Below are 27,205 nucleotides of genomic sequence, written 5' to 3'. Positions count from 1 at the left end.
GACCTCAGAGGCTCGTTGTTTGAACTTAACAAAAAACCTGCTAAAACACATGAAATGTCAATAACTACATAAATATCATAATTAAGTTGCTTCATATTATTTGTGGAACATGGTGGTATATAAATTAAGTAATTAAATATATATAAGTATTGACAACAATTAGTCTGGAGAATTATCTAGTCAATTCTCATACCAGGGTCTCGGGCTCTTACACTGATTAGAAAACCACATTTGGACATGGCTTGATACACAGGATCCTTGCCTTTATATCACTGAGTGAGCTTGTTGTGGAGACAAATGTCCAACAGGCATAGAGAGACAAACTCATTTCCCTTCATGACTGCACAATCTGAATACAGGTGGGCAAGTGAGGTCAAAACGTGGCTGAACCTTGGCACTATTCTTGCCTCATTGGTTTTCAGCCCAGGTTTCTTAAGAAAGCAAGCTTCTTTTTTATTGCATTATCTCAGCCTCTCAAACCCCAGAGTGCAACATTTCTAGAGATTTCTGCACAGCAAGGAGGATTTTTTTCCACACAAAAGCAATGTCTCAAACTTTTGCTGCTGTTGTTCTGACAGACTCCTTATATCTGTTTCTCCTTCAGAAACCAATGCAAAACTCAAGGGTGGCTTATTTAAACATTTTTTACTCACCTTATTAATATCCAGTGGAAATTATCTGGCACTGCCTTTCAAAGAAAATTCTATTAGTGTCGGGCAACAACATGCTCTGCAGTTTAAATGCAACTTTTAAGCATTTCAGAATTGATGCTTAAGTAATCACAGAATTTGCATTTTTAAACTCATGCTAGCATAATGAAGTAAAAGAGAAGCACAGTATCTGTGTTCTAGTCCTGATAATCATCAAATTTTACAAACTTCACTTTTCTTATCTACAAATGGATTTTTGCCAAGATCTAATGCACACACACACAAACATACTCCATATCCGTGGGTCCTGTGGGTTCCATGGGTTCAACATTCATGGATTCAACTGATTGCAGATCAAAACTATTCAAAAAAAAATTGTGTCTGCACTGAACATGTACAGACTTTTACTTGCTTGTCACTATTCCCTAAACAATGCCTGATCATAACTATTTACATTGCATTTGCATTGTATGAGGTATTATAAGTAATCTAGAGATGATTTAAACTATATGTGAAGGGCCGGGCATGATGGTTCAACGCCTGTAATCCCAGCACTTTGGGAGGCGGAGGTGGGTGGATCAACTGAGGTCAGGAAATCAAGACCAGCCTGGCCAGCATGGTGAAACCCCATCTCTACTAAAAATACAAAAATTAGCTGGGTGTGGTGGCGGGAGCTACTCAGGAGGCTGAGGCAGGAGAATAGCTTGAACCTAGGAGACGGAGGTTACAGTGGGCCGAGACTGTGACATTGCACTCCAGCCTGGCAACAAGAGTGAAACTCCATCTCCAAAAAAAACAAAAGAAAATAATAAAAATATAATAAGGTATATGTAAGTAATGTGCATAGGTTATATGCAAATACTAAACCATTTTATATCAAGGACTTGTGTAGCTGCAGATTTTGGTATCTGAGGGACATCCTGGAACCAATCCTCACAGATACCAGAGGATGAAAATATAACATAAATGTGCTTTTGTATACAAAGGTAAGGTTAAAAGGGGTTTGGTTACCTCTAAAATTTCCAAATTGCTTTTCAAATACCACAAATTATTTCCCAAGTAGTTATGATAATAATGCATGGGAGAGAAAAAGCCACTTGCAAACATCAGAATTCACGTTTTTAGTACCAGTTGTGGACAGCCTCTGTCCCTGGACCAGGAAATGTAAAGCTGAATTAGATACCTATCTACCTTCAAGAAGCTCATGGCGTGTCATAAACATCATCTCTGGTATTGCTGTAGATACTGCAAAGGTTTGCAAGGATTGCAAACAAACCACCTATTCCTTAGGTAGCAAGATGAACCACAATAAAGGACTTAACAACGTCTAGAACTTTGACAATATTTCTGCTTGACCTCTCCATTATGGAGCAGTACACATTAATTTCAAGAGGATCTTCCCATGAATTATCTGGCACACCCTTTTTTCCACCCTCATGATTAATAAAAGGCATTCTATGGATGTTTTACAGCAGTTCCAAGAAGGAACAACTCATCTGCGCTGTGCCTGAGAGCTGACCGTGAAAGGCCTCAGGACTACAGAAGTGGCCTGGGATCTTCACCTTTTAGCAAGACAACTTCCAGGGAATCCCTTTTTTCTGTCCACCATTCATTTTGACCTTCTGCTGCTTTATCCTCCTTACCCTACTCATCGCCTGGGGAGTGGGAAAAGGGATTGTTATGAATTGATTTATGTCTCCCCAAAATTCATATGTGGAAGCCCTAACCTCTGATGCTATTGTATTTCAAGATAGAGTCTTTTTTTTTTTTTTTTTTTTTTGAGACAGAGTCTTGTTCTGTTGCCCAGGCTGGAGTGCAGTGGTGCAATCTTGGCTCACTGCAACCTCCGCCTCCCAGGTTCAAGCAATTATCCTGCTTCGGCCTCCTGAGTAGCTAGGATTACGGACGTGCACTATGACACCCAGCTAATTTTTGTACTTTTAGTAGAACAGGGTTTCACCATGTTGGCCAGACTGGTCTCGAACTCCCGAGCTTAGGTGATCTGTCTGCCTGGGCCTCCCAAAGTGCTGGGATTACTGGCATGAGCCACCGCACCCAGCCACAAGAGAGAGTCTTTAACTCGGTAATCAAGGTTAAATATGACCATAACGGTGGGGCCCTAATCCAGCAGGACTGCAAATGCACACAGAAAAGGGCAGGTGAGGACACTGTGATAACGCAGCCATCTGAAGGCTGAGGACATAGACTTGGGAGAAAGTAAGGTGCTGCCCCCTTAATCTTGGACTTCGAGCCTCCAGAACCATGAGAAAATAAATGTCTACTGTTTAAGCCACCCAGTCTGTAATATCTTGTCATGGCAGTCTTAGCAGACTAATACAGGGGATTCACTAGGCTTTGAAGTCAAAGTGTTCTTCCGACAGACACAAACAGTTCCTCCGTTTTCAGCCCTGGGCCTGTGCCACCATCTCCATGGAAGCCAGTGCCTTCAGTTCCTCTGGGCTGCAGAGCAAGTGGGCAAACTTTGTATTGGTATCCCACAAACCTTAGGCAATTAGCTGTTAATATCACCCTTTTCCTCTCTGCTAAATCAATTTCTATTCTTATTTCTTGTGATTTATAGCTAATAGCACCTCTTAATGCCATCAAAAGTGAAATTCCACCTGTAATCCCAACTACTTGGAACGCTGAAGCAGGAGAATGGCTTGAAACCTGGAGGCAGAGGTTGCAGTGAGCCAAGATTGTGCCACCGCACTCCAGCTTGGGCAACAGAGCAAGACTCCATCTCAAAAAATAATAAGTAATAAAGTTCCATGTCACCAAACTGAAGCTAAGTTATACATCTGAACTTTCAAGAAATCAGGAGAGAGAGAAAATAGCCACATCTCCAAATAGGCCAGTTTTAGTTGGCATGACACTGAAGTCCCCTCTGCTTTAACTTTTACAAGAAAAGTAACTTCGAAACTATCAATCCGCATTCCGTTTTCTGTTTCTGCTTTCTTCAGCTCTTTTCTGTCTATAAAACCAAACACATCTGCTCAGGTCTTTGAAACACTCATTCTATTTTACAGAATAAAGGGTTGCCTGATTCTGGAATCGCAAATAAAGCCAACTAAGATCTTTAAACTAAACTTGCTGGCCAGGCACAGTGGCTCAAGCCTGTAATTCCAGCACTATGGGAGGCTGAGGCGGGCAGCTCATGAGGTCAGGAGATCAAGACCATCCTGGCTAACGTGGTGAAACCCCATCTCTACTAAAAATAGAAAAAAGTAGCCGGGGTTAGTGGTGCGTGCCTGCAGTCTCAGGTACTCGGGAGGCTGAGGCAAGAGAATTGCTTGAACCCGGGAGGTGGAGGTTGCTCTGAGCTGAGATCGCGCCACTGCACTCCACCCTGGGCGACAGAGCAAGACTCTGTCCCAAAAAAATAAAAATAAACTAAACTTGCTATGATTTTGTCTTTTGCCACTTCTGGCGACCCCGAAGGGACCCAGAGTACACTGCTGATCACCCCCCAAGACCCTTTGAGGAATGGATGCAGGAAAAGCACCACTGACCCCTTTTCAGGTTTCCTGTCATCCTCATGGAGCCCTGAGAGTCATAAGTAAGTTTCTCTCAAGTCAGACTCTGCTCCTTTTGCATTGCGCTCCTGGTTTTTTTTTGGCTTTCAAATCCAGAGTTTCTTTGTGCTATGAGAAGGCACTTGGCCTTTGGGTTTGTGGTGGCTGACAAGTAACTGGTAAGAGCTGCATCTTTCTGCTCCCACTTTGGAGATGTCTTGGCTAAAGTCATAGAGGCTTATTTGTTTCGGTCTTAAGTCAAGCCCCCAAGAATATGGCCAGACAGAAATGTGGGTGTACCCCATGTACAGCTAGCGTATTGACTGCTGCAAGCTCTCAAGGAATTGTCTAAGTCTTCTTTTCTTTTGGCTATCTTTGGGAGAAGCTCTGGATCATGAAAGAGCTACAATTTTAAAGGTAACTGTGAGCCGAGATCGCGCCACTGCACTCTAGCCTGGGTGACAGAGCAAGACTCCGTCTCAGAAAAAAAGAAAAAAAAAAAGGTAACTGACAGCAGTTGCAATAAATGGTAGTTATTGTAGGAGGCATGAACTCCTCAAAAATCTTAGGTATTTGGGTTTCTTTCCTCTTCTTTTCTTTTTCTTGAATGCCTCAGTAAGGGAGGCCTCAGGGGACTGACTGGGTCAGACAAAACTGGGTAAGTATTGGCTAAATTGGTCAAGGGGATCTCAGAGCCAAAGCTACAACCTGACTGGTGGGCACAGTTTGAGAACTTAAAAGCTATTACAGCTGTGGCTGGGTGCAGTGGCTCATGCCTGTAATCCCAGCACTTTGGGAGGCCGAGGCAGTCAAGAGTTCAAGACCAGCCTGGCCAACATGGTGAAACCCTATCTCTACTAAAAATACAAAAATTAGCCTAGTGTGGTGGCGCACACCTGTAATCCCAACTACCCGGAAGGCTGAAAAAGAAGAATCACTTGTACCTGGGATTCGGAGGTTGCTGTGAACTGAGATCGTGCCACTGCACTCCAGCCTGGGCGACAGAGTGAGACTCTGTCTCTCAAAAAAAATAAAGCTATTACAGTGCTCTCCACTAAAAAATAAGACTTCCATGAAAAAAATAAGCTGCTAACAGAATGGGCTAGCTAACATTAGGTTGCTCACCAGCTTCAAGGATATTTTCATGCAATGAGGTACGCCATGAAAGCATTACACAACACAAGCCCACGGTGCTTTCTTCGGGCTTTAATCTTGGCTCTAAGAGAGCCAAGATTCAACCTAAAAATTTCATCCTCAATTTCTAAAGACCTGAATACTCCATAGGACTACCTTTTACATGTGTAAATATTAGGTCACAGAAGCTGCTTACAAAAATGGCAAAATCATACTACAGATAATTTAGAATTATGATGGCCATAATGTGGAATATTCCAGATGAACCACATTGCACTTTAAGAAATGCATTTAAAAATGAGAGTCTCTCATAGGGGGCCTACCAAGGGTTGTCTATTGATGTGTAGACTCTTCCAAAAATGAATTTTAAAATGTTTATACTTTTTTAAAAAGACTCCTTACAAAGGCAAATGGAAAGCTTAAGTGACTAACAGATGAGAAAAACTGAATCTGCTAACCTTTTCATGTAGTTATTCTCCCTTCCCTAAGGCAAAAAGAAAGTGAGATAAAGTATTTATAAAGGTCAGGGTGGATCTGCTGCTTGTTCAGAGCTATCCATCCTGAGTTCATGTGTAGAAAATGCTTTTTTGGCCCCATATGTTAATGGGCTCCACCCTGAACTCAGTAAATTCAGTTGAGGAACAAGCATTGGCCAAGCACTGTGACTCATGCCTATAATCCCAGCACTTTGGGAGGCCAAGGCTGGCAGATCACCTGAGGTCAGGAATTCGAGACCAGCCTGGTCAACATGGTGAAACCCTGTCTCTACTAAAAATACAAAAATTAGCTAAGCGTGGTGGCATGCGCCTGTAATCCCAGCTACTTAGGAGACTGAGGCAGGAGAATTGCTTGAACCCAGGAGGTGGAGGTTGCAGTGAGCCAAGATCATGCCACTGCACTCCAGCCTGGGCAACAGAGCAAGACTCAGTCCTAAAAAAAAAAAAAAAAAAAAAAGAAAAGAAAAAGAAAAAAGGAAAGAAACTAACTCAAATGCTTTTTAAGTTCACATGACTTCAGTAAAATTTGGTAAATAAGAATACTGTTGGTTTAATTAAAATGGGATAGGGAGAGGGTGAAGATGGTTAATGGGTACAAAAAAAGTAGAAAGAATAAGACCACTATTTGATAGCACAATAGGTTGACTATAGCCAATAATAACAACTGTATATAGATTCAATGCCATCCCCATAAGCTACCAATGACTTTCTTCACAGAATTGGAAAAAACTACTTAAAAGTTCATATGGAACCAAAAAAGAGTTCGCATCACCAAGCCAATCCTAAGCCAAAAGAACAAAGCTGGAGGCATCACACTACCTGACTTCAAACTATACTACAAGGCTACAGTAACCAAAACAGCATGGTACTGGTACCAAAACAGAGATATAGACCAACGGAACAGAACAGAGCCCTCAGAAATAATGCCGCATATCTACAACTATCTGATCTTTGACAAACCTGACAAAAACAAGAAATGGGGAAAGGATTCCCTGTTTAATAAATGGAGCTGGGAAAACTGGCTAGCCATATGTAGAAAGCTGAAACTGGATCCCTTCCTTACACTTTATACAAAAATTAATTCAAGGTGGATTAAAGACTTAAATGTTAGACCTAAAACCATAAAAAACCTAGAAGAAAACCTAGGAAATACCATTCAGGACATAGGCATAGGCAAGGACTTCATGTCTGAAACACCAAAAGCAATGACAACAAAAACCAAAATTGACAAATGGGATCTAATTAAACTAAAGAACTTCTGCACAGCAAAAGAAACTACCATCAGAGTGAACAGGCAACCTACAGAATGGGAGAAAATTTTTGCAACCTACTCATCTGACAAAGGGCTAATATCCAGAATCTACAATAAACTCAAACAAATTTACAAGAAAAAAACAAACAACCCCATCAAAAAGTGGGCAAAGGATATAAACAGACACTTCTCAAAAGAAGACATTTATGCAGCCAAAAAACACATGAAGAAATGCTCATCATCACTGGCCATCAGAGAAATGCAAATCAAAACCACAATGAGATACCACCTCACACCAGTTAGAATGGCAATCATTAAAAAGTCGGGAAACAACAGGTGCTGGAGAGGATGTGGAGAAATAGGAACACTTTTACACTGTTGGTGGGACTGTAAACTAGTTCAACCATTGTGGAAGTCAGTGTGGCGATTACTCAGGGATCTAGAACTAGAAATACCATTTGACCCAGCCATCCCATTACTGGGTATATACCCAAAGGATTATAAATCATGCTGCTATAAAGACACATGTACATGTATGTTTATAGTGGCACTATTCACAATAGCAAAGACTTGGAACCAACCTAAATGTCCAACAACGATAGACTGGATTAAGAAAATGTGGCACATATACACCATGGAATACTATGCAGCCATCAAAAATGATGAGTTCATGTCCTTTGTAGGGACATGGATGAAACTGGAAACCATCATTCTCAGCAAACTATCGCAAGGACAAAAAGCCAAACACTGCATGTTCTCACTCATAGGTGGGAATTGAACAATGAGAACACATGGACACAGGAAGGGGAAAATCACACACCGGGGACCGTTGTGGGGTGGAGGGAGTGGGGAGGGATAGCATTAGGAGATACACCTAATGTTAAATGACGAGTTAATGGGTGCAGCACACCAACATGGCACATGTATACATATGTAACAAACCTGCACATTGTGCACATGTACCCTAAAACTTAAAGTATAATAATAATAAAATTTAAAAAATATATATATAAAGAGTGTAATTGTATTGTTTGTAACTCAAAGGATAAAAGCTTTATGAGGGATAGATATCTCAATCTCCATGATGTGCTTATTTCACATTCCATGCCTGTATCAAAACATCTTACACACCCCTTAAATAAATATACCTATTATGTACCCACCAAAATAAAAATAGAAAACAAAAAAATGAAAACAGGCATGTCTTCAGTATTGCCAGCATTAAATATAATGCAGAAACAATCTTTATTTCTATTAGACCATTAAGATCATAAAATTATGAGTTTGACCTAAGAATAAATTTGCAAGTGAGAGGACAGCGCAGTGTTCATTACTTTGTGTATATCAAGCACAGAAGCAAAATAAGGACCCATATATTTAATTTTTAGGGCTCTTCTTTAATGATACTTGCCCAATATGCATGTGCTATGAGACACTTCATGGGAAAATAGCTTGAGATGATGGCTAAGTCTGTCAAATGTCTCAATTTTCATGAATAATCTAAGTGTAATTGTTAAGGACAAAAGAAATAAATGTGAGATAAAACTTTATAAATGAACTTGTCATAGTTATCAAAATCTTTTTCAGCAACTTGAAATCTCAATCTCATGTAATATTAATAGACATTCATAAAATATCTGAGTCATTTCTAAGTTAAAATATTAACATTAATTGCTGAACATACGTTTAAACTATATACACTTTGGCATCTTGTTTTTATATGGTATAAAGAAGCTAAATATATTTGAGTCTGTTGGTAAACATGAAAAAATTGTTCCATGAGGGAGCACATGTTTTTGGAAGTTATAAAATGTATATTCATAAAATGTTGATGTATGACAGTTCAAAATTTCTTTTTCCCTAGGTTTTCATTAGAAATTAAGGTTATTAAGAGTCAAAAATTCTAATCAACATATGGTAATTAAAACTAGAAATAAAAAAAGAAACACTTCATATGGTAAGGAAAGTAAGACATGTTTCTGGTAAGTGAAGCTACGTGGTATGGAAGATGTGCTCTGGCTAAGAGAAAAAGTGAGTAATTTTTGTTTGGAAGTGGAATAACTGGTTTGTCCAAAAGGAGAAAGAGGGAACGTATAGGACAAAGGACTGAAGTAATATAAGAAAGTTATACATTTGTGGAAGATATATATTATGAAAGAAATTTTATGTGTAATCAAGTTGCCTAAAATTATAGAATTACTTATAAGTAACTCGTGTGCTTAAGCATTCCTCCTGCCTCAGCCTCCTGAATAGCTGGAACTACAGATGTGAGCCACCGCACCAAGCTCTTATTTTTCAGAATACTTGAGCACTTTGTCTGCTTGATTCCAAATATGATTAATAAAATTTCAGACTTGAGGGGAACAATCAGAGAAGAAGTCCATGAAGTTCACTCAGATATTTTTCAGGCATGACTGAAACCATTAGAGGGTGCTGTCACAGATTAAACAAATCCTGACTCTGACGAGCACGAAAATTCATCCACTAGGTAGCCTTGAATATAAAATATTTTACTCAGCGTCCTAAAATGAATAAATCATTCCCAGTCTAAACACAAAGAAAATGACTATTTATAGGATGTCATGTCTTGAGATATTTTAAATATAGGTTTTTATTATTTTTTTGGAGACAGGGTCTTACTCTGTCACCCAGGCTGGAGTGCATGGTGCAATCACGGCTCACTGCAGCTTTTACCTCCTGGGCTCAAGCCATCCTCCTGCCTCAGCCTCCCAAGCATTCAGGACTACAGGAGCATGCCACCACATTCAGCTCTTTTTTTTTTTAACTTTTTGTGAGATGGGGTCTTGCTCTGTCGCCCAGGCTGGTGTCAAACTCCTGGGCTCAAGTGATCCTCCTGCCTCAGCCTTCCAAAGTACTGAGATTACAGCCATGAGTCATCGTGCCTGGCTGGTTTTTATCTTTATGTAGAATTCTGATATTTCTTAATGGATCCTGAATCACCCTTAATATTCTTATTTTTAAATTTGACAATTTAAATTTAGTCACATTTTAATAGAGATCTGAGTCACTAGGTAGGTTTCTGTCCCACCTTGTCCCACCTGTGTGTGGAGATAAAGCACTTTCCACATAAAGCTGCCCAGAAGGCCAAGCGCGGTGGCTCATGCCAGTAATCCCAGCACTTTGGGAGGCCAAGGCGGGTGGATTACCCGAGGTCAGGAGTTTGAGACCAGCCTGGCCAACATGGCAAAACCCCATCTCTACTAAAATACAAAAATTAGCCGGGCGTGGTGGCACATGCCTGTAGTCTCAGCTACATGGGAGGCTGAGGCAGGGGAATCACTTGAACCCAGGAGGTAGAGATTGCAGATGAGCTGAGATCGTACCACTGCACTCCAGACTGGATGACACAGCAAGACTCTGTCTCAAAATAAATAAATAAATAAAAATAAAGCTGCCCATATATCTAGCCACATTGATAATGGTGTTAGGAAGAACAATCTCAGATTTGACAAAGTTCTCCTAAAGCTATCCAAAATATTATGACTAATAAATGGTTGTATAGAATTATCAAATTTGTAATGTGTAAATAAATTACCTCAGGTTTTCTCAGAATAAAATGTTCTAAAGTTGGCTGGGAGCAATTGCTCACACCCATAATCCCAGAACTTTAGTAGGCTGAGATGGGAGGATCACTTGAGGTCAGGAATTCGAGACCAGTCTGGGTAACATACTGAGACCCCCATGTCTACAATTTTTTTTTTTTTGAGACAGAGTCTCGCTCTGTCACCCACACTAGAGTGCAGTGGCATGACCTTGGCTCACAGCACTTCTGCCTCCTGGGTTCAAGCGATTCTCCTGCCTCAGCCTCCCAAGTAGCTGGGATTACAGATGAACACCACCATATCTGGCTAATTTTTGTATTTTTAGTAGAGACAGGGTTTCACCATGTCAGCCAGGATGGTCGCGAACTCCTGACCCCAAGCAATCCACCTGCCTCAGCCTACGAAAGTGCTGGGATTACAGGCATGAGCCACTGTGCCCAGCCCAAAAAAATATTTTTAATTGAAAAAAAAAAAGTTCTAAGAAGGTAAGACTATGACTAAGAATGCCATATTTTAAACTGGAGTTTTCATTTTAAAAATGCATAAAAGAACTAGAGTTGCGTGATACAATAATTATTTAGCATGTGATAAAGTGGGCCTTTCATTCTAGAATTCTGGGTATCAATTTCTTCTATATGCCTATGCTCATGAGCACACACACGCACACACATCATATTCTCTCAGTCCTCTCTGTCTCTTTTTTTCTGTGTCTCCCAGAGAAAAGAAGCAGGGATAATAAGCAATAGGTTTGGTGTCTACTCGAACTTAATACCTGGAAAGTAAGTACTGGGGATTATTCTCATGTTGGCCATACATGATCTGGGGCAGAACAGTGACAGCAGCAAAAGTTCTCAGAGAAATGAATACAGAAAAGTAGGAAGGTTATGTCCTTGGAAGTCAGAGTGTTCAGCTTTGTGAAGACATTTCTAAACTTTCGACTTTCTGGAACGCTCTCTGGGTTCTGCAAGGAATAAGTAGCTAAAGTGAAGCGAAGAATGACAAGATGATGCAGGCGCTTGAGAATAAGAAGGTGACAAAATCTTGATGCCTGAAGATCAGCAAAAGACAAGTGGCGATGGAGTAGCAAAGCACAGTAAAGCCTCACTGCGGATTCATTGATCCAGGGAGCCAAGGCAGGCAGTGCTATTTTAGACAGCGCCATGAGGGCAGCCTGGCAGATCTGTGCTGATAGGGCACCCTCAAGGCTCACTGGAATGGAGGGAGTTTGAGTGACAGTTGGCTTCTCAATGTAAGTTCTTTCTTATCAGATAATACGACGGATGAACAGCCCAAAAGGTCTCCGCAGACAGAACCTGCAGTGTACATTTGAAACGTTCGCATTGGTACATCAGAGCCCCTCTGCAGTGAGAAGGGCCATCTGAGAACGTGAGCTGAGGAAATTAAAAAAGAAAAGAGTGGTATAAAGGATTTTCAACTTCTACTGACTCAGATTAATGGAACTGGCTCTCTTTTTTCTATTTTAAGCAGGTCACATTTAATATAAACTCATTGTTTTATATATATAAAACATATATTTAAATATATATTAATATATATATTTAAATACATATATTAATATATATAAATATATATATTTAAAATGCCCACAAAATTCAAAAAGAAAAATTCTCTAAACATTCAAATTGACCCTCAGGTTACACAGCTCTCAGAAAAGAAAAAGTGTGCTTTTCTTATCTGTTATTGAATTAGGTGTGCTGACTTCCTGTCTTATCTTTCCACGATAGGTAAAGGATAACAACAAGCTATATTTATGAAATCTGATTTGCCCAGTGTCTGGGCAGCTCCCTGGAAGAAGAGGCATGGACTTTTTTCAGGCTTACATGGCAGTATTTATTTAAAGACTCCCTAAAGATTTTTAAAATTAACGTATCATCTGCAAATACCAAACACACAAACTGAATTTAAGGAGCCACAAGGCAACTTGGTACTTCTGATGTCAGGCTAGAACAATTCATTCTACCCAATAAATCAACATTTTTTAGCCCAAAGCCCTAAGATCATAAGCACCCCATGTTTTATAAAGAATTCCCAGTAAACACTTGAGTTTTCACCAAACAGTATTTCACAAAAATAGTTGCTCAATCATTCTAAATTGCAACAATAATTGAAGTTACAAGCGCCCTGAAACCATTTATTACCAAGCCAGTATGTACCCACCATAAAATGCAGATTCACAAACCTTTTGTGCTTACAGTGAATTTTGAATCTGCTGACTTTTCTTAGACAAGGGTAAGAATAAAAACTTTTTTTCTCTGCTTACAGTGGCAAAAAAGAACAGGGAGAAATAACACATTTTCAAAAGTACTTCCATCACACTTTCAGCTCCTAATAAAAGCATCTGCCCACAAAGATGACATTTTCTCTCTGTTTCTTCCCTTTAAATTGTTTGCTATCACATTGTCAATCAAAAGCAAATTTACACCCTAGACAGATGCAAAGCATAGCCTTTTCCATAGTAGTTTTGAAGACAGTGAGTCATTTGTCTATCAGCCAAAGCCTACAGAGTCTCATTGATTCTGCAACAGGAATGCTCTTTTCAGATTTACTGAAAGTCATAGCTGCTTTCAGCCTAACAGGTTGAAGCCTTCCCTAGGCTACAAATTTACTACGCTATAGAAAGTTTTTTTAGTAACAATTTTGTCCCCTTGGTGGATCTAGGATTCATCTTGATTGCTGCTACCTAAGACAGAAGTGGAAGAGTTTTCTCCTGAAAAGTGTACCGTTGGGCAGGGCATGGTGGATCATGCCTGCAATCCCAGCGCTTCAGGAGGCCAAGGCAGGATGATCACTTGAGCCCAAGAGTTCAAGACCAGGCTGGACAACATAGTGAGATCCCATCCCTACAAAAATAATAATAGTAATAAATACCCAGGTATAGTGACACATGTCTGTAGTTGCAGCTACTCAGGAGGCCACAGTGGGAGGATCACTTGAGGCCAGGAGGTCAAGGCTGCAGTAAGCCATGATCACACCACTGTACTCCAGCCTGGGCAACAGAGCAAGACCCTATCTCCAAAAAAAAAAAAAAGTATAGCACTGGACAAAGCTATCCAACAGAGTATCTTCCCTTTTAAAACTCACAGACCCCTTTGAAAATCCAAGAAAAAGTTATGACTAATTTTCCCAGAAATAAATACATATAAGGGATCACCATAAACATGTGTGATAGTATCTTCCCTTTTAAAACTCACAGACCCCTTTGAAAATCCAATAAAAAGTTATGACTAATTTTCTCAGAAATAAATACACCTAAGGGATCATCGTAAACATGTATGATATGTGGGTTTCAGGATTTCACAAATTCCTGGAGTTTACTCATGGAATCCAGGTTAAAACTCCTGCCCATGGGTTTTGAAATAGGTTCACCTGCCCAGGGAGGTAATTGTTTGTCATTTCTTTGCTGCCTGCATCTGCACAGTGGCTCAAGAAGGTGAACAGCAGACAGAAAACATTTGACTCTATTGACTGGTTTCAAATGGCTGGAGTTTCATTTCCCTGCTATCAGTCTCCTTACACTACACTCCATTTCTCCTCCTTAATGATCATTAAGGACAAAGCTTGAGATAGCACCTTCCTCCTTTCACACACAATCTTAACTTCCTTCTCAGAACCTAATTTCCCCTTACCAGGAAGGCCACACACACAGGGAGACTCATTCTCTAACATGCTATCAACTGCTGCATCCTCCACTTTTTCTTTCGTGGAAAACTTGCCCTTACTGAGTATCTACCACTAGTTACATACACAGAATGGGCCAGGCACAGTGGCTCACACCTATAATCCCAGCACTTTGGGAGGTCAAGGCAGGTGGATCACCTGAGCTCAGGAGTTCGAGACCAGCCTGGACAACATGGAGAAACCTCATCTCTACTAAAAATACAAAAATTAGCCAGGTGTGGTGGTGCACCTGTAATCCTAGCTACTCAGGAGGCTGAAGCAGGAGAATCACTTGAACCTGGGAGGCAGAGTTGCAGTGACCTGAGATCACGCCACTGCACTCCAGCTTGGGCAACAAGAGCAAAACTCCACCTCAAAATAAATAAATAAATACACAGATTGGCTTTCTCACTGTGTGCCTCACATCGTGCAGTTTTCCTGGTATATCCAGAGAGCATCAAAGGGTCACCGCGAGGCTGTCTGTCGAGGTCCTTTCAGGCCGCAGGCCTATCTCCAGGCCTTGGCAATGAGAACAAGCATATTCTTGGCTAATCTAGGCCAGGCATGGTGGCTCATGCCTGTAATCCCAGCACTTTGGGAGGCCGAGGTGGATGAATCACTTGAGCTCAGGAGTTCTCGACCAGCTTGGGCAACATGGCAAAACCCCATCTCTATAAAAAATACAAAAATTAGCCAGCCATGGTGGAGTGTGCCTATAGTCCCAGCTACTTTGGAGGCTGAGATGGAAGGATGGCTTGAGCCCTGGAGGCAGAGGTTGCAGTGAGCCAAGATCATGCCACTGCATTACAGCCTGGGTGACCAGACCCTGTCTCAAAAAAAAAAAAAAAAAGAATTTTCTTGTCTAATCTCTATACACGTCCACCCTACAAAATCAGTTGAATTCCCTCCTTAGCCCCCTTTTGTAATTTTTATTGTCTGATTAGTTAACCCAATAAAAACAGACTTTTAATAAACTAGTATGATTTTTTTAGACACAAAGGCTTACTCTTACTAAGTGAAAGTCAAGATGTGCCTGATCTCCTAATCGTTGATAACAATGATGGGGTTCAGGACAGGCTACCCTAAAATATAGCACCTTGGCATATTGAAGAAAACAGCAGGAGCAGAAAGTTTGCTCTGACCTTTTATAACCTTTTCCTAAAGCAGGTCATAAAACCTAGGAAAGATTTTCTGACCTTTCCCTGAAGCAGTTCATAAGATCCTCATACGATTGTCAGGGAATAATAATTTTAAAAAAGACCCTCAGCCAGGTACAGTGGCTCACACCAGTAATCCCAGCACTTTGGGAGGCTGAGGCGGGTGGATCACTTGAGGTCAGGAGTTTGAGACCAGCCTGGCCAACATAGTGAAACCTTATCTCTACTAAAAATATAAAAATTAGCCAGGCATAGTGGTGGGCACCTGTAATCCCTGCTACTCGGGAGGCTAAGGTGGGAGAATTGCTTGAACCCAGGAGACAGAGGTTGCGATGAGCCGACATGGTGCCATTGCACTCCAGCCTGGGTGACAGAGTGAGACTCCGTTTCAAAAAAAAAAAAAAAAAAAAAACCCTCTTATGAGAAAGACCTTCCCTATATCTGGAGGAAAAAAGGAACATCCTTATCTCTTAAGATGAAAGGACAGAGAAGGATCTGAACGGACTGGCCTTGCTAAGCCTCCTGTCTATTGCCATTAGATCACACTCCCGTCGTCCAATCATAATTCTCCATGACTGTCCACTCTTCATCAAACTTAGCATAAAAATATGCAAGTTTCACCATTCCTTCCTGTCTTCATTGCTTTATGAAGGCTCTTGTGTCACATATAACTAATAGTCAATAAATGTGTATGCTTTTCTCTTATTAATCTGTTAGTTTTCCTTTCAGACCCAGCCAGGGACCCTGGGTCAAGGAAAATTTTTTCCTCCCCTACACTAATTAGCCAAACTGTGGGTACAAAGTAGTTGAAACACATCTAGTTTACTGGTGCACAGTATTTGTGGGCTGTCAATTAACCAACCAAGAAGAAATAATTTGCTCATTTAAGAAATGTTTATGAAGGCCAGGTGTGCTCACTCCTGCCTGTAATCCCAGCATTTTAGGAGGCTGAGAAGGGAGGATCACTTGAGGCCAGGAGTTCAAGACCAGCCTGGGCAACATAGCAAGACCCCATCTCTACAAAAATTAAAAATTAGCTGGCCATGGTGGCACACACCTATCATTCCAGCTACTCAGGATGCTGAGGCAGGAGGATTACTTGAGCTCAGAAGTTTGAGGCTATAGTGAGCTTTGATTATGCCACTGCATTCCAACTTTGATGACAGTGAGATCCTGTCTCAAACATTAGCCAGGCATGGTGGGGTGCCTGTAATCCAGCTACTCGGGAGGCTGAGGCAAGAGAATCGCTTGAACCCATGAGGCCAAGGTTGCAGTGAGCCAAGACCATGCCACCGCTCTTCAGCCTGGGCAACCGAGTGAGACTCTGTCTCCAAAAAAAAAAAAAGGAAATATTTATGTATCTCCTGCTCTATGCCACACTTCTATTACTAATCTGGAAGCACGGGAGGGAGAAGAGGTGACAGATAATGCCCCTTATCCACACAGATTACATTGTTAGGAGAAACGAAACAAAATAAACAGAGTCTTGAACAAAATAATTTCAGACAATGAAAAATGGTATTTAAAAATGAATAATTTTAGAAAGCCAGATGTCATGATATTGACTACGATCCAGGTAACCTTAGGTTTGGAAAGCAAGAAGACCTTATGGGGGAGGTGACATGTGAGTAGAATCTGATTGATAGAAGCAGCCCTGCAAAAACCTGAGAACAGAGCTTTCTAGGCAGTGTGAACAGCGAAGGCAAAATTCTAATGTAGGGAGGAGGCAGGCAATTCATCAAGAAACAGAAAGATGGTCTGTGCAATTGGAACAGACTGAGCCGGTGGGAAAGTATAGAGAGAAAGGGTTCATTTTTTTAGCTTCGGAAGAAGAGTAAGGGAATTTGGATTTTTTTTTTCTTTTTTTTTTTTTTTTTGAGACGGAGTCTGTTGCCCAAGCTGGAGTACAGTGGTCCAATCTCGGGTCACAGCAACCCTGGTCTCCCAGGTTCAAGTGATTCTCCCGCCTCAGCTTCCCGAATAGTAGTAGGCGACCACCACCACACCTGGCCAATTTTTGTATTTTTAGTAGAGATGGGGTTTCAGCATGTTGGCCAGGCTGGTCTCAAACTCCTGACCTCAGGTGATCTGCCCGCCTCAGCCTCCCAAAGTGCTGGGATTACAGGCGTGAGCCACCGTGGCCTGCCAGAATTTGGATTTTAAATTCCAAAAAAAAAAAATGGAGAATTTGAAGCAGAGGGTGTCATAATCCTATTTGTGTTTTGAAAAATTTACATTGCATAGCTGTCATATGCAAATAGACTGTAATGGGGTAAGAGCACAAACAGGAAAGAGAGAAAACCAAGGTGACGTATAGTACTCTAAAGAAAAGCATATTATTCCTCACCTAATTTTTGAAAATTGATTTTTGTTGGCATCTTAACAATTCAAATCCTAACAACAAAAATCACTACCAAATCATAGCACTATAAAGATTAAAAGCTCAAGTTGGTACCGCTGTCTAATGAAATGTTGTTGAATACCACATCTAAAGAGGGGACCCTTTTTGCATGACCTTGCCCACTAAGCATTCTTTGCAGTTCTTTGGAGCATTTAATTTTTAGATGCAGACAATTACCTAAAGCTAACGGCTGCTTCTAAGGTTTTATTGCTTGATTCATTCGAAATAAAACATGCATAATGTAATATTTCAGTTGTGTTTTGCCTACAGCATTGAAGCTTTAAATAACTGTAGATTGCTTATAATATTATATAATTAGAGAGAAATTTTTTAGGAGTCACCTGGTATTTATGCAGAACTGGGATCAGTGCCTAGGAAAAAATGGTTTCTACTGATACCACTATGCTTCAGTCATATTAAGTGCATTTTAAATAAAAGTGACAGCAAGTATGGCTAATAGTAAAAGATAAATAAATAAAAGGGAAAAAAGAAAATAAAAAACACAAGATTGTGCTCATATGACACAAAGACCTATTTTTCATTCAGCACATCTGGATATCTGAACGTTCAAGATTCACAGCTTGAGCTCTTCCTCTAGAATGTTCTGTGTATTTCTTTTTTGCCTCTTCTTCCACTTTCAGCAGAACTATCCCCACTTTTGTAATCATTTACTGTCCAGAATAACCCATCCTGTTTTAGTGGGTTTTTCTCAGTGCTGGCAGGGTAGCTGTGGATCCAGAATTCTGATAATTTTTTTTTCTTCTTTTTTTGGAGACAAGGTCTCACTCTTGTCACCCAGGCTGGAGTGCAGTGGCACAATCATAGCTCACTGCAGCCTCAAATTCCTGGGCTCAAGTGATCCTCCTGCCCCAGCCTCCCAAGAGCTGAAACTATAAGCACGTGCCACCACACCTGGGTAATTTTAGGATTTTTTTCAGAGATGGAGTCTTGCTGTTGACCAGGCTGGTCTCAAACTCCCAGCCTCTAGCAATCCTCCCACCTCTGCCTCCTAACGTACTGGGATAAGGGGTATGAGCCACTGCACTCAACCTTTGATGGCTATTAATGTTTAAGATATTTCTCTGTCCCGATAACCAGAGCATTTGGAACCCCAAGTTATGATACAAAGTCATAATTATTATTCTAATGGGAGAAATTTCAAACACCACTGAAAATTCTAGAAGCACAGTGATGTGGCCAAGTCCCAGGCACCGCACAGATCCCACCAAAGAAGTCCCACCCATCCCCCCACATGGAAAGTTATCTCTGTCAATCACCATCTTCATCACTATCACTCACGCACACAAAAGATGTTCCATACTTTTTAATGTGGACCACCTAAAGTAGAATCAACCATGCAGCAAATACCACCAGCTTCTTCTTCCGTGTAAGTTTAAAAGGTGCTACTTTGAAATGCAGTGACTCCTTCTTCTCACCTTCCTTTCCAAAGATCCTCTTTCTAAAATCTCAGTTCTTACTATGCCAAACAGCAAACGGTTCATATTCAGCACGGTAAACTTTTTAAGCTAATTTACTAGCAATTTTCAGCATTCAGATTTGACAGGCCCAGATTTTTAAAAATTCAATCTCTGTCTCTGATATATAAGGAAAATTAAAATATGGTGAGGCATGGGCCTTGTCATTGCTTAATGAATACCGCACAAAAGGAATATCCTGATGTATTTTTTTCTCAGTAATAGGCCCACTCTCCATTTTTATATTAATCCATTCCGCATGATGACCTAGAAATTGCAGATTAAGGCTTTCGAGTATCTGTACTCATTTTCCAACCTGTTCTATTTGGTGATGTGTTCCTTACAGACATTGAGCAGTTGTCACTTGTCCCGGCATTTCACCAGCTCCCTGCAAACAAGTTATCTGCTGACATGCCGATCTATTATGTAACGTAAGAGAACCACAAGCTTGTATTTCAATGAGTCATAAAAAGCTTGAGAAAGCCCAGCAAAGCATAGTGAGCAAAGAAAAACTTAATTAGTTCAAGTGATACTGACTCAGACAAACATGCTAACTTGCCAACTCCACCAACGTCTGGTTTTCAGAACAGGATTCAGTGGCTATGTCACCTGTACTCAACTTTGGACTTCTAAGCCACGTTTGTGACTGTAGATTGTCAAAGGCCTTCAGAGCCCGGGTCAAGATTGGTTTAATGACAGTGAGAAGCATTCAGACAGGAAGGTATGGTGAGAAAGGGTTCATTTTTTTCAGCTTCATAGCACAAATGAGGGAGTTTGGAGTTTTTCTGAGGGGGTGGTTAGGGGTTATTTTGAGACAAGTTCTCACTCTGTCCCCCAGGCTGGAGTACAGTGGTGCAATCTCAGCTCACTGCAACCTCCACCTCCCAGGCTCAAGCAATCCTCCCAACTCAACCTCCAAAGTAGCCAAAACTACAGGTGCACGCCACCCCACCCGGCTAATTTTTGTATGTTTTGTAGACATGGGGTTTCGCCATGTTGCCCAGGCTGGTCTCGAACCCCTGGGCTCAAGCAATCCACCTACCTCGGCCTCCCAAAGTGCTGGGATTACAGGCGTGAGCCACCATGCCCAGCCAAGTTTGGGTTTTAAATTCAAGGAAAACCAAAAGAAAGTCTGAAGCAGAGGGTGGCATAATCCTATTTGTGTTCTTATATCACACAAACAGATACTCTACTAGGAAGGGAGGCTGTTGCCTCCTACCCAGGAGCAGCTGAGAAGACACACCAGGCAGGTAGCAGAGTTGGTCCTAACCAGGATGACCAACAGCAGGTCTGGGATAGTCAGTGAGATCACAAGAGGGGTCAATGCGGGGTCGGCTTGGCATGAAAGGCTTTCTTCTTCTGCTCACCATGAAGTGATCTCAGGAATCACCAATCATATGACAATTATATTTTGGTCTGAAGTAAACCCTTTGCAGCACCTCTGAAGCAGCACCTGCCTTGCTAAGTGAGCGTGTCTTAGGGGCAGGCTAACAGGAGAAACCCTGGGACTCCAGATTTAAGATCCAATGAACATTTGCCTCAGAAGCCTTCCTGGAAAAGACAGATTCAGTGAGTGGCTTTCAGCTCCCAAGACTGAATTCCAAGACAGTCGTGTGGTCCCATCTTGATTCCCATCTGTGAAACCTGCTTCTTAAAAATAAGTTGCTCCTCTCCTTTCCCTTTCCTGTGGGGACAGCAGCACTGAGGCCCTTGGAGGGGAGAAGGAAGGAGGTGCCAAAATGGTGAGCTGTGATTACAGAGTGTGGTCAGGAGATTGGGATCACAGAGGGGCATGTGTAAGCAAATTGATATATTTTATATATCAAATATATATTTGTCTGTTCTTATCAGACTGCCCAGCTACTTAGATCATAAGTCAAATACTTAAACAGCCCCTGAGCTAACTAGAATTGTGATACACCGTCGGCTACAACAAAATGCAGCAAGACAACCCTAAAAACATCTAAAGCCCCAACCCAACAACCGATAGGCAATGTCCAGGAAGATTGTGACCCCATAGTACTCAGCCTATGAGGAACCAGTGGAGGGACCTGAGGGGATAAATTGCTTGTAACTGTGCTGGGTGTGCCTACCCATCAGACACCCGATCTTGCAAGACCGTCATTAAAAGTCTCACTGTCGCTGTTCTTCAGGTCTCTGAGTCCATTTTTTTGGGTTTGGACAGGTGAGTTTGTTTCTCACAGGGTGACTGGTATAAATTCATGGCTTGTAATTTAGAGAGACAGATGGAGACATATGTGCTGTAATCCCCCTTGGCCACCACGATTTTTATTTCCAAACTTTCAGTTATCTGCGGTCAACCACGGGGGAAAACAGGTGTGTACAGAGGGAGGGAGAAGGGGTCAAACAAAGTTGGAAAATAGGTGTGTAGAGGGAGGGGGAGGGGGAGAGGAAGGGGGAGAGGGAGAGACCACATTCACATCACTTTGAGTGGGGGGTTGGTTGTTGTTTTGGGTTTTTAAATTGCAACATCTGGGAACAGTGGCTCACACCTGTAATCCCAGCACTTTGGGAGGCCGAGGTAGGCGGATCGCTTGAGGTCAGGAGTTCAAGACCATCATGGCTCATATGCTAAAACCCCATCTCTACTTGAAAATACAATTAGCCAGGCGTGGTGGCACGGGCCTGTAGTCCCAGCTACTTGGGAGGCTAAGGTAGGAGAATCACTTGGACCAGGAGGGCGGAGGTTGCAGTGAGCAGAGATCTGTGACACTGCACTCCAGCCTGGGCGACAGAGTAAGACTCCATCTCAAAAACTAAAATTAAATTAAAATAAATGGCAACACCTGAAAAGCCTAAAAACATAATAAGGAAATGTGTTCCCCCCGCTATTTCTGAGAAGAGCAAACATCTATAGTAGTTTCAGGACGCGTAAAGTGATGAAGTCGAGCTAGCAACAGGGATGGCTCGGTCCTTTTTTGAGCTTTCTCTCATTGACTCGGGGAGAAGGAGGCCGCTCTGTGTATTTAGCTGAATTCCCGCGAAACAGGGTGAAGAGAAAAATGGGGCTGCGGGGCGTAACTCCATCTGTCCAAGGCGGGGAGGCTTAGACTCGGGGCTTCTGTGTTGGAAGTGAACACCAGCGTGACACATCATGCTGCCCGGGCAGGGGTCAGCGTCCCCGGGCTGCAGGAAGGTGGGAGGTGGCAGTCCTGACTGGTGGCATACCCTTGCCCCGGGCCCTACTGCATGGGACACCCGCCAGCCGCAGCAGGAGCTTCCCGGGGGTCCCCTCCCTGAGGAGGGCAACGTCTGGGGTCGCTGTGGGGCCAGGTATACCTGTGCCCCCTTCCTCCGCGACCACCCCTCCAAACCCGCCTGCACGCCCGGGTAGGGGACCTGACTCCTGAGGCTAAGGCACCTGGGGCGAGCGCTGTCCTTTGCGGGCCACTCACCAGGCTGAGGAGTCCTCTCAGTGCTTCTCTAGACCCCGGGGTTAACAGCGGCTGAGGAAGGCGCGCGGTGGCGCCGCCGCCAGGCACGTAGAGGGGAAGCCGTGGGGTTTCCCGCGCAGCCGCAGAGAAGGAGGCCGAGCCAGACGGGCAATGCACATCAGTTTCATTAACATATATTGTTAGCATTGTCCTGTTTTATGATTACTTATTGTTGTTCATCTCTAATTTAATTGTGTCTCTATATATAAATTAAACTTTATCATAATCATGTATATATAGAAAAAACTATATATGTGTGTGTGTGTATATATATATACAGTGTGTGTATATATATACAGTGTGTGTATATATATATACAGTGTGTATATATATATACAGTGTGTATATATATATACAGTGTGTGTATATATATATACAGTGTGTATATATATACAGTGTGTGTATATATATATACAGTGTGTGTATATATATACAGTGTGTGTATATATATATACAGTGTGTGTATATATATATACAGTGTGTGTATATATATATACAGTGTGTGTATATATATATATAGGGTTTGGTACCATCTGTGGTTTCAGGTATCCACTGGGAGCCTTGGAACGTGTCCCCTGCAGATGATGGGGGAACCACAGTTGATAGATATGCATATAAACATCGCTATATTTGTGTGTATGTGAGTCCATATATATACACATATACATGGATTTTTTTTTTTTTGCTGATTCTAATTCTAGGGCAGGAAAAATATAAGATGAGCATCTTTGGGTGCCAGAAAGTGAGGAACTGCTCCAGATAAGTTAAAAAAAAAGCAGGGGGGCATGGGAGGGAGACATGTGAAAGGGATAGAGGAACCAACCTAAAAAAGCTCCTGATGTCCAAAGCTAGAACAATTAGGGCAATAAAACAGACAACAGGAGTAGTGGGTTATAACCCAAAGAATAAATTAAACACCTATAAGTAGGTGATTGAATACATAAACAAGCGGGAGAGAAGGGACAAATCTTTTTTACAGAAGAATTCTAAATAATAAATGTGGAAGAATGAGAGGAATAGAAAAGCAGCACTAGAATTCCACAGTAATTATCGCTGCAGGCAAACTTCATTGATGAATGCTAAAATTAGTGGCCAAAACTTTAAGGAGACATACAATATTTGCATAGGAATGGGAAAAATAGTAACTTTACAGGAGAAAAATGTGGCAGACACCACCTTAACCAAGTAATCAAGGTAAACATCATTGGTATGAGTCAAGTACACATTACATCTTCAGTATTCTTCCTAAAAGCCTGTATCATGAAGTATCAGACAAATACACGTTGGGTCTACAAAATACCTGATTGGTCCTCCTTAAACGTGTCGAAGTCATGAAAAACAAAGACATAGAGAAAGCATAAAAGATCAAAGGGCGCTAAGGAGACACGACAACTAAAATGCAGCATGGTATCCTGGATTCAGTTCTGGAACAGAACAAGGACGTTAGAAGAAAAGCTGGTCAAATCCTAGTAAGGCCTGTAGGTTAGTTAATACTGTTGCTCTAATGTTAATTTCTTTATTGTGATCATTGTGTCATTGTTACGTAAGATGTCAACATTAAGGGAAACTGCGTAAAGGATAAACTGGAATTCCCGGTACTAACTTTGCAATTCTTCTGAATGTTTAAAATTATTTTGAAATAAAAAGTTTTATTAAATGACTAGAAAAACAAGCTACTACCTCAGTATTTTACAGTAGGCACGTACACACACACACACACACACACACAGACATACACACACAACCTTTTCTGGCTGTTCAAGCGCTGTTTCTTGTCACTCTGTGGTATTTTCTTTTTCATTGTTATTATTTTTATTTTTTGTAGAGACAAGCAAGGTCTCACTATGTTGCCCAGGCTGGCCTTGAACATTTGGGTTCAAGTGACCCGTCTCCCTTATCCTCCCAAAGTGTTGCGATTACAGGCATGAGCTGCTGCACCAGGCAGTGGTATTTTCTAACTTAAAAATATTTTAGGGCAAGGTACGGTGGCTCATGCCTGTAATTCTAGCACTCTGGGAGGCTGAAGCAGCAGATCACTTGACGTCAGGAGCTTGAGACGAGCCTAGCCAATATGGCAAAATCCATCTCTACTAAAAATATAAAAATTAGCCAGGCATGGTGGTGCACACCTGTAATCCCAGCTACTTAGGAGGCTGAGGAAAGAGAATAGCTTGAACCTGGGAGGCAGAGGGTGCAGTGAGCTAAAATCACACCACTGCACTCCAGCCTGGACAACAGGGCAAGACTCCATCTCAAAAAAAAAAAAAATTAAATTAAAAGATTGACCTGGATCAACAAAATAAGAAGACAAGTCACAGACTAAGAGAAAATATTTGCAAGAGATATATATGATAAAGGACAGATATCCAAAGGAATTCTTAAAACTCAATAATAAGAAAATAAGAAAACAACCCAATTTAAAATGAGCAAAACACCTGAATAGGTACCTCATTGAAGAAAATGTACATATGGTAAATAAGGTTATAAAAAGATGCTCGGCATCACATGCCATCAGGGAAATACAAATTAAAACAACAATGACATACAGCTATATACCTATTAGCATGGCCAAAATCCAGAACATTGACAACACCAAATGCTGGCGAGGATGTGGGTCAGCAGGAATTTTCATTCATTACCAGTGGAAATCCAAATAGTGTATTGGAAAAACAATTTAGCAGTATTGTATAAAATTAAACATATCTTCACCATACAATCCAGCAATCAAGTTCCTTGGTGTTTATCCCAATGAATTGAAAATTGATGTCCACCTAAAAACCTGCACCTGTGTGTTTGTCCATAAACACCATAAATAGGCCAGGCACAGTGGCTCACACCTGTAATCCCAACACTTTGGAAGACTGAGGCGGTTGGATCACTTGAGGTCAGGAGTTTGAGACCAGCCTGAGCAACATGGTGAAACCTCGTCTCTACTAAAAAAAATACATATATACAAAATTAGCTGGGAGTGGTGATGCATGGCTGTAATCTCAGCTATTTGGGAGGCATCTCTGTAATCCCAGCTACTTGGGAGGCATCTCTGTAATCCCAGCTACTTGGGAGGCATCTCTGTAATCCCAGCTACTTGGGAGGCTGAGGCAGGAGAATCACCTGAATTTGGGATGTGGAGGTTGCAGTGAGCTGAGATTGCGCCACTGCACTCCAGCCTCAGCAACAAGAGCGAAACTCCACCTCAAAAAAATAAATAAACACCATAAACATGTAGCAGCTTAATTCATAATTGCCAAAATTTAGAAGCATCCAAGATGTCCTTCAATAAATGAAGGGATAAACTATTGTACATCCAGACAATGTAATATATTATTCAGTGCTAAAAAGAAATGAGCTGCCAAGCTATATGAAGACATGGAGGAACTTTAAGTGCATATTACTAAGTGAAAGAAGCCAATCTGAAGAGGCTGCATAGTGTATGATTCCAACTATATGGCATTTTGAAGAAGGCAAAATCATAAAGAGATCAGTGGGTGCTAGGAATTAGAGGGAGGAAGGATGAATAGGTGAAGCATAGAGGATTTGTGTGGCAATGAAGCTTTTTTTTTTGAGACAGTCTTGCTCTGTTGCCTAGGCTGGAGTGCAGTGGCGTCGGCTCACTGCAACCTCCGCCTCCTGGGTTCAAGCAATTCTCCTGCCTCAGCCTCCCAAGTAGCTGGGATTACAGGTGCACACCACCATGCCCAGCTAATTTTTGTATTTTTAGTAGAGATGGAGTTTCACCATGTTGGTCAGCCTTGTCTTGATCTCCTGAGCTTGTGATCTGCCCGCCTCAGCCTCCCAAAGTGCTGGGATTACAGGCATGAGCCACTGCACCCAGCCTCTTTTGTATAATACTGTAATGGTGAATATTCTTGTTAAAACCCATAGAATGTACGGCACCAAGGGCGAACTTCCATGTCAACTATGGACTTTGGGTGATAATGATGTGTCCATGCAGGTTCATTGATTATAAGAAATGTGATCACACCGATGAAGGATGTGATGGTGAGAGAGGCTGTGCATACGTGAGGGAGGGAGGATTTAGGGAACTCTATGCTTTCTGCTTAAGCTTGCTGTGAGCCTGAAACTGCTTTTAAAAATAAAGTATATTTTTTTAAAATTGGCCCACCCAGGGTAGGCCAGGCACAGTGGCTCATGCCTGTAATCCCAGCACCTTGGGAGGCTCAGGCAGGCAAATGACCTGAGGTCAGGAGTTTGAGACTAGCCTGGCCAACATGCTGAAACCTCGTCTCTACTAGAAGTACAAACATTAGCTGGGCGTGGTGGCACATGCATGTAATCCCAGCTACTTGGGAGTCTGAGGCAGGAGAATCACTTGAAACTGGGAGGCAGAGATTGCAGTGAGCTGAGATCAAGCCATTGCACTCCAGCCTGGGCAACAAGAGCAAAAACAACAACAGCAAAAAAAAAAAT

General features: G+C 41.7%; 1 long non-coding RNA gene across 2 annotated transcripts in view; it reads right to left on the bottom strand.

The window, feature by feature from the left end:
- LOC105376440 (uncharacterized) overlaps positions 1-22,806 on the bottom strand; it is a 126,250-nt gene extending 103,444 nt beyond the window's left edge. Inside the window, exon 1 of one of the 2 annotated variants that reach the window (XR_930721.2) lies at positions 22,739-22,806. This is a non-coding gene — a long non-coding RNA (uncharacterized LOC105376440). The remainder of the gene's footprint in view (positions 1-22,738) is intronic. The other variant, XR_930720.2, reaches the window with a different exon arrangement.
- Positions 22,807-27,205: the final 4,399 nt, after the last annotated feature.

This window comes from Homo sapiens, chromosome 10 (genome assembly GCF_000001405.40).
Source record: "Homo sapiens chromosome 10, GRCh38.p14 Primary Assembly".
NCBI lineage: Eukaryota > Metazoa > Chordata > Mammalia > Primates > Hominidae > Homo > Homo sapiens.
The sequence above is the reverse complement of the archived record's forward strand: the minus strand, read 5'-3'. Positions and strand labels throughout refer to the sequence as shown.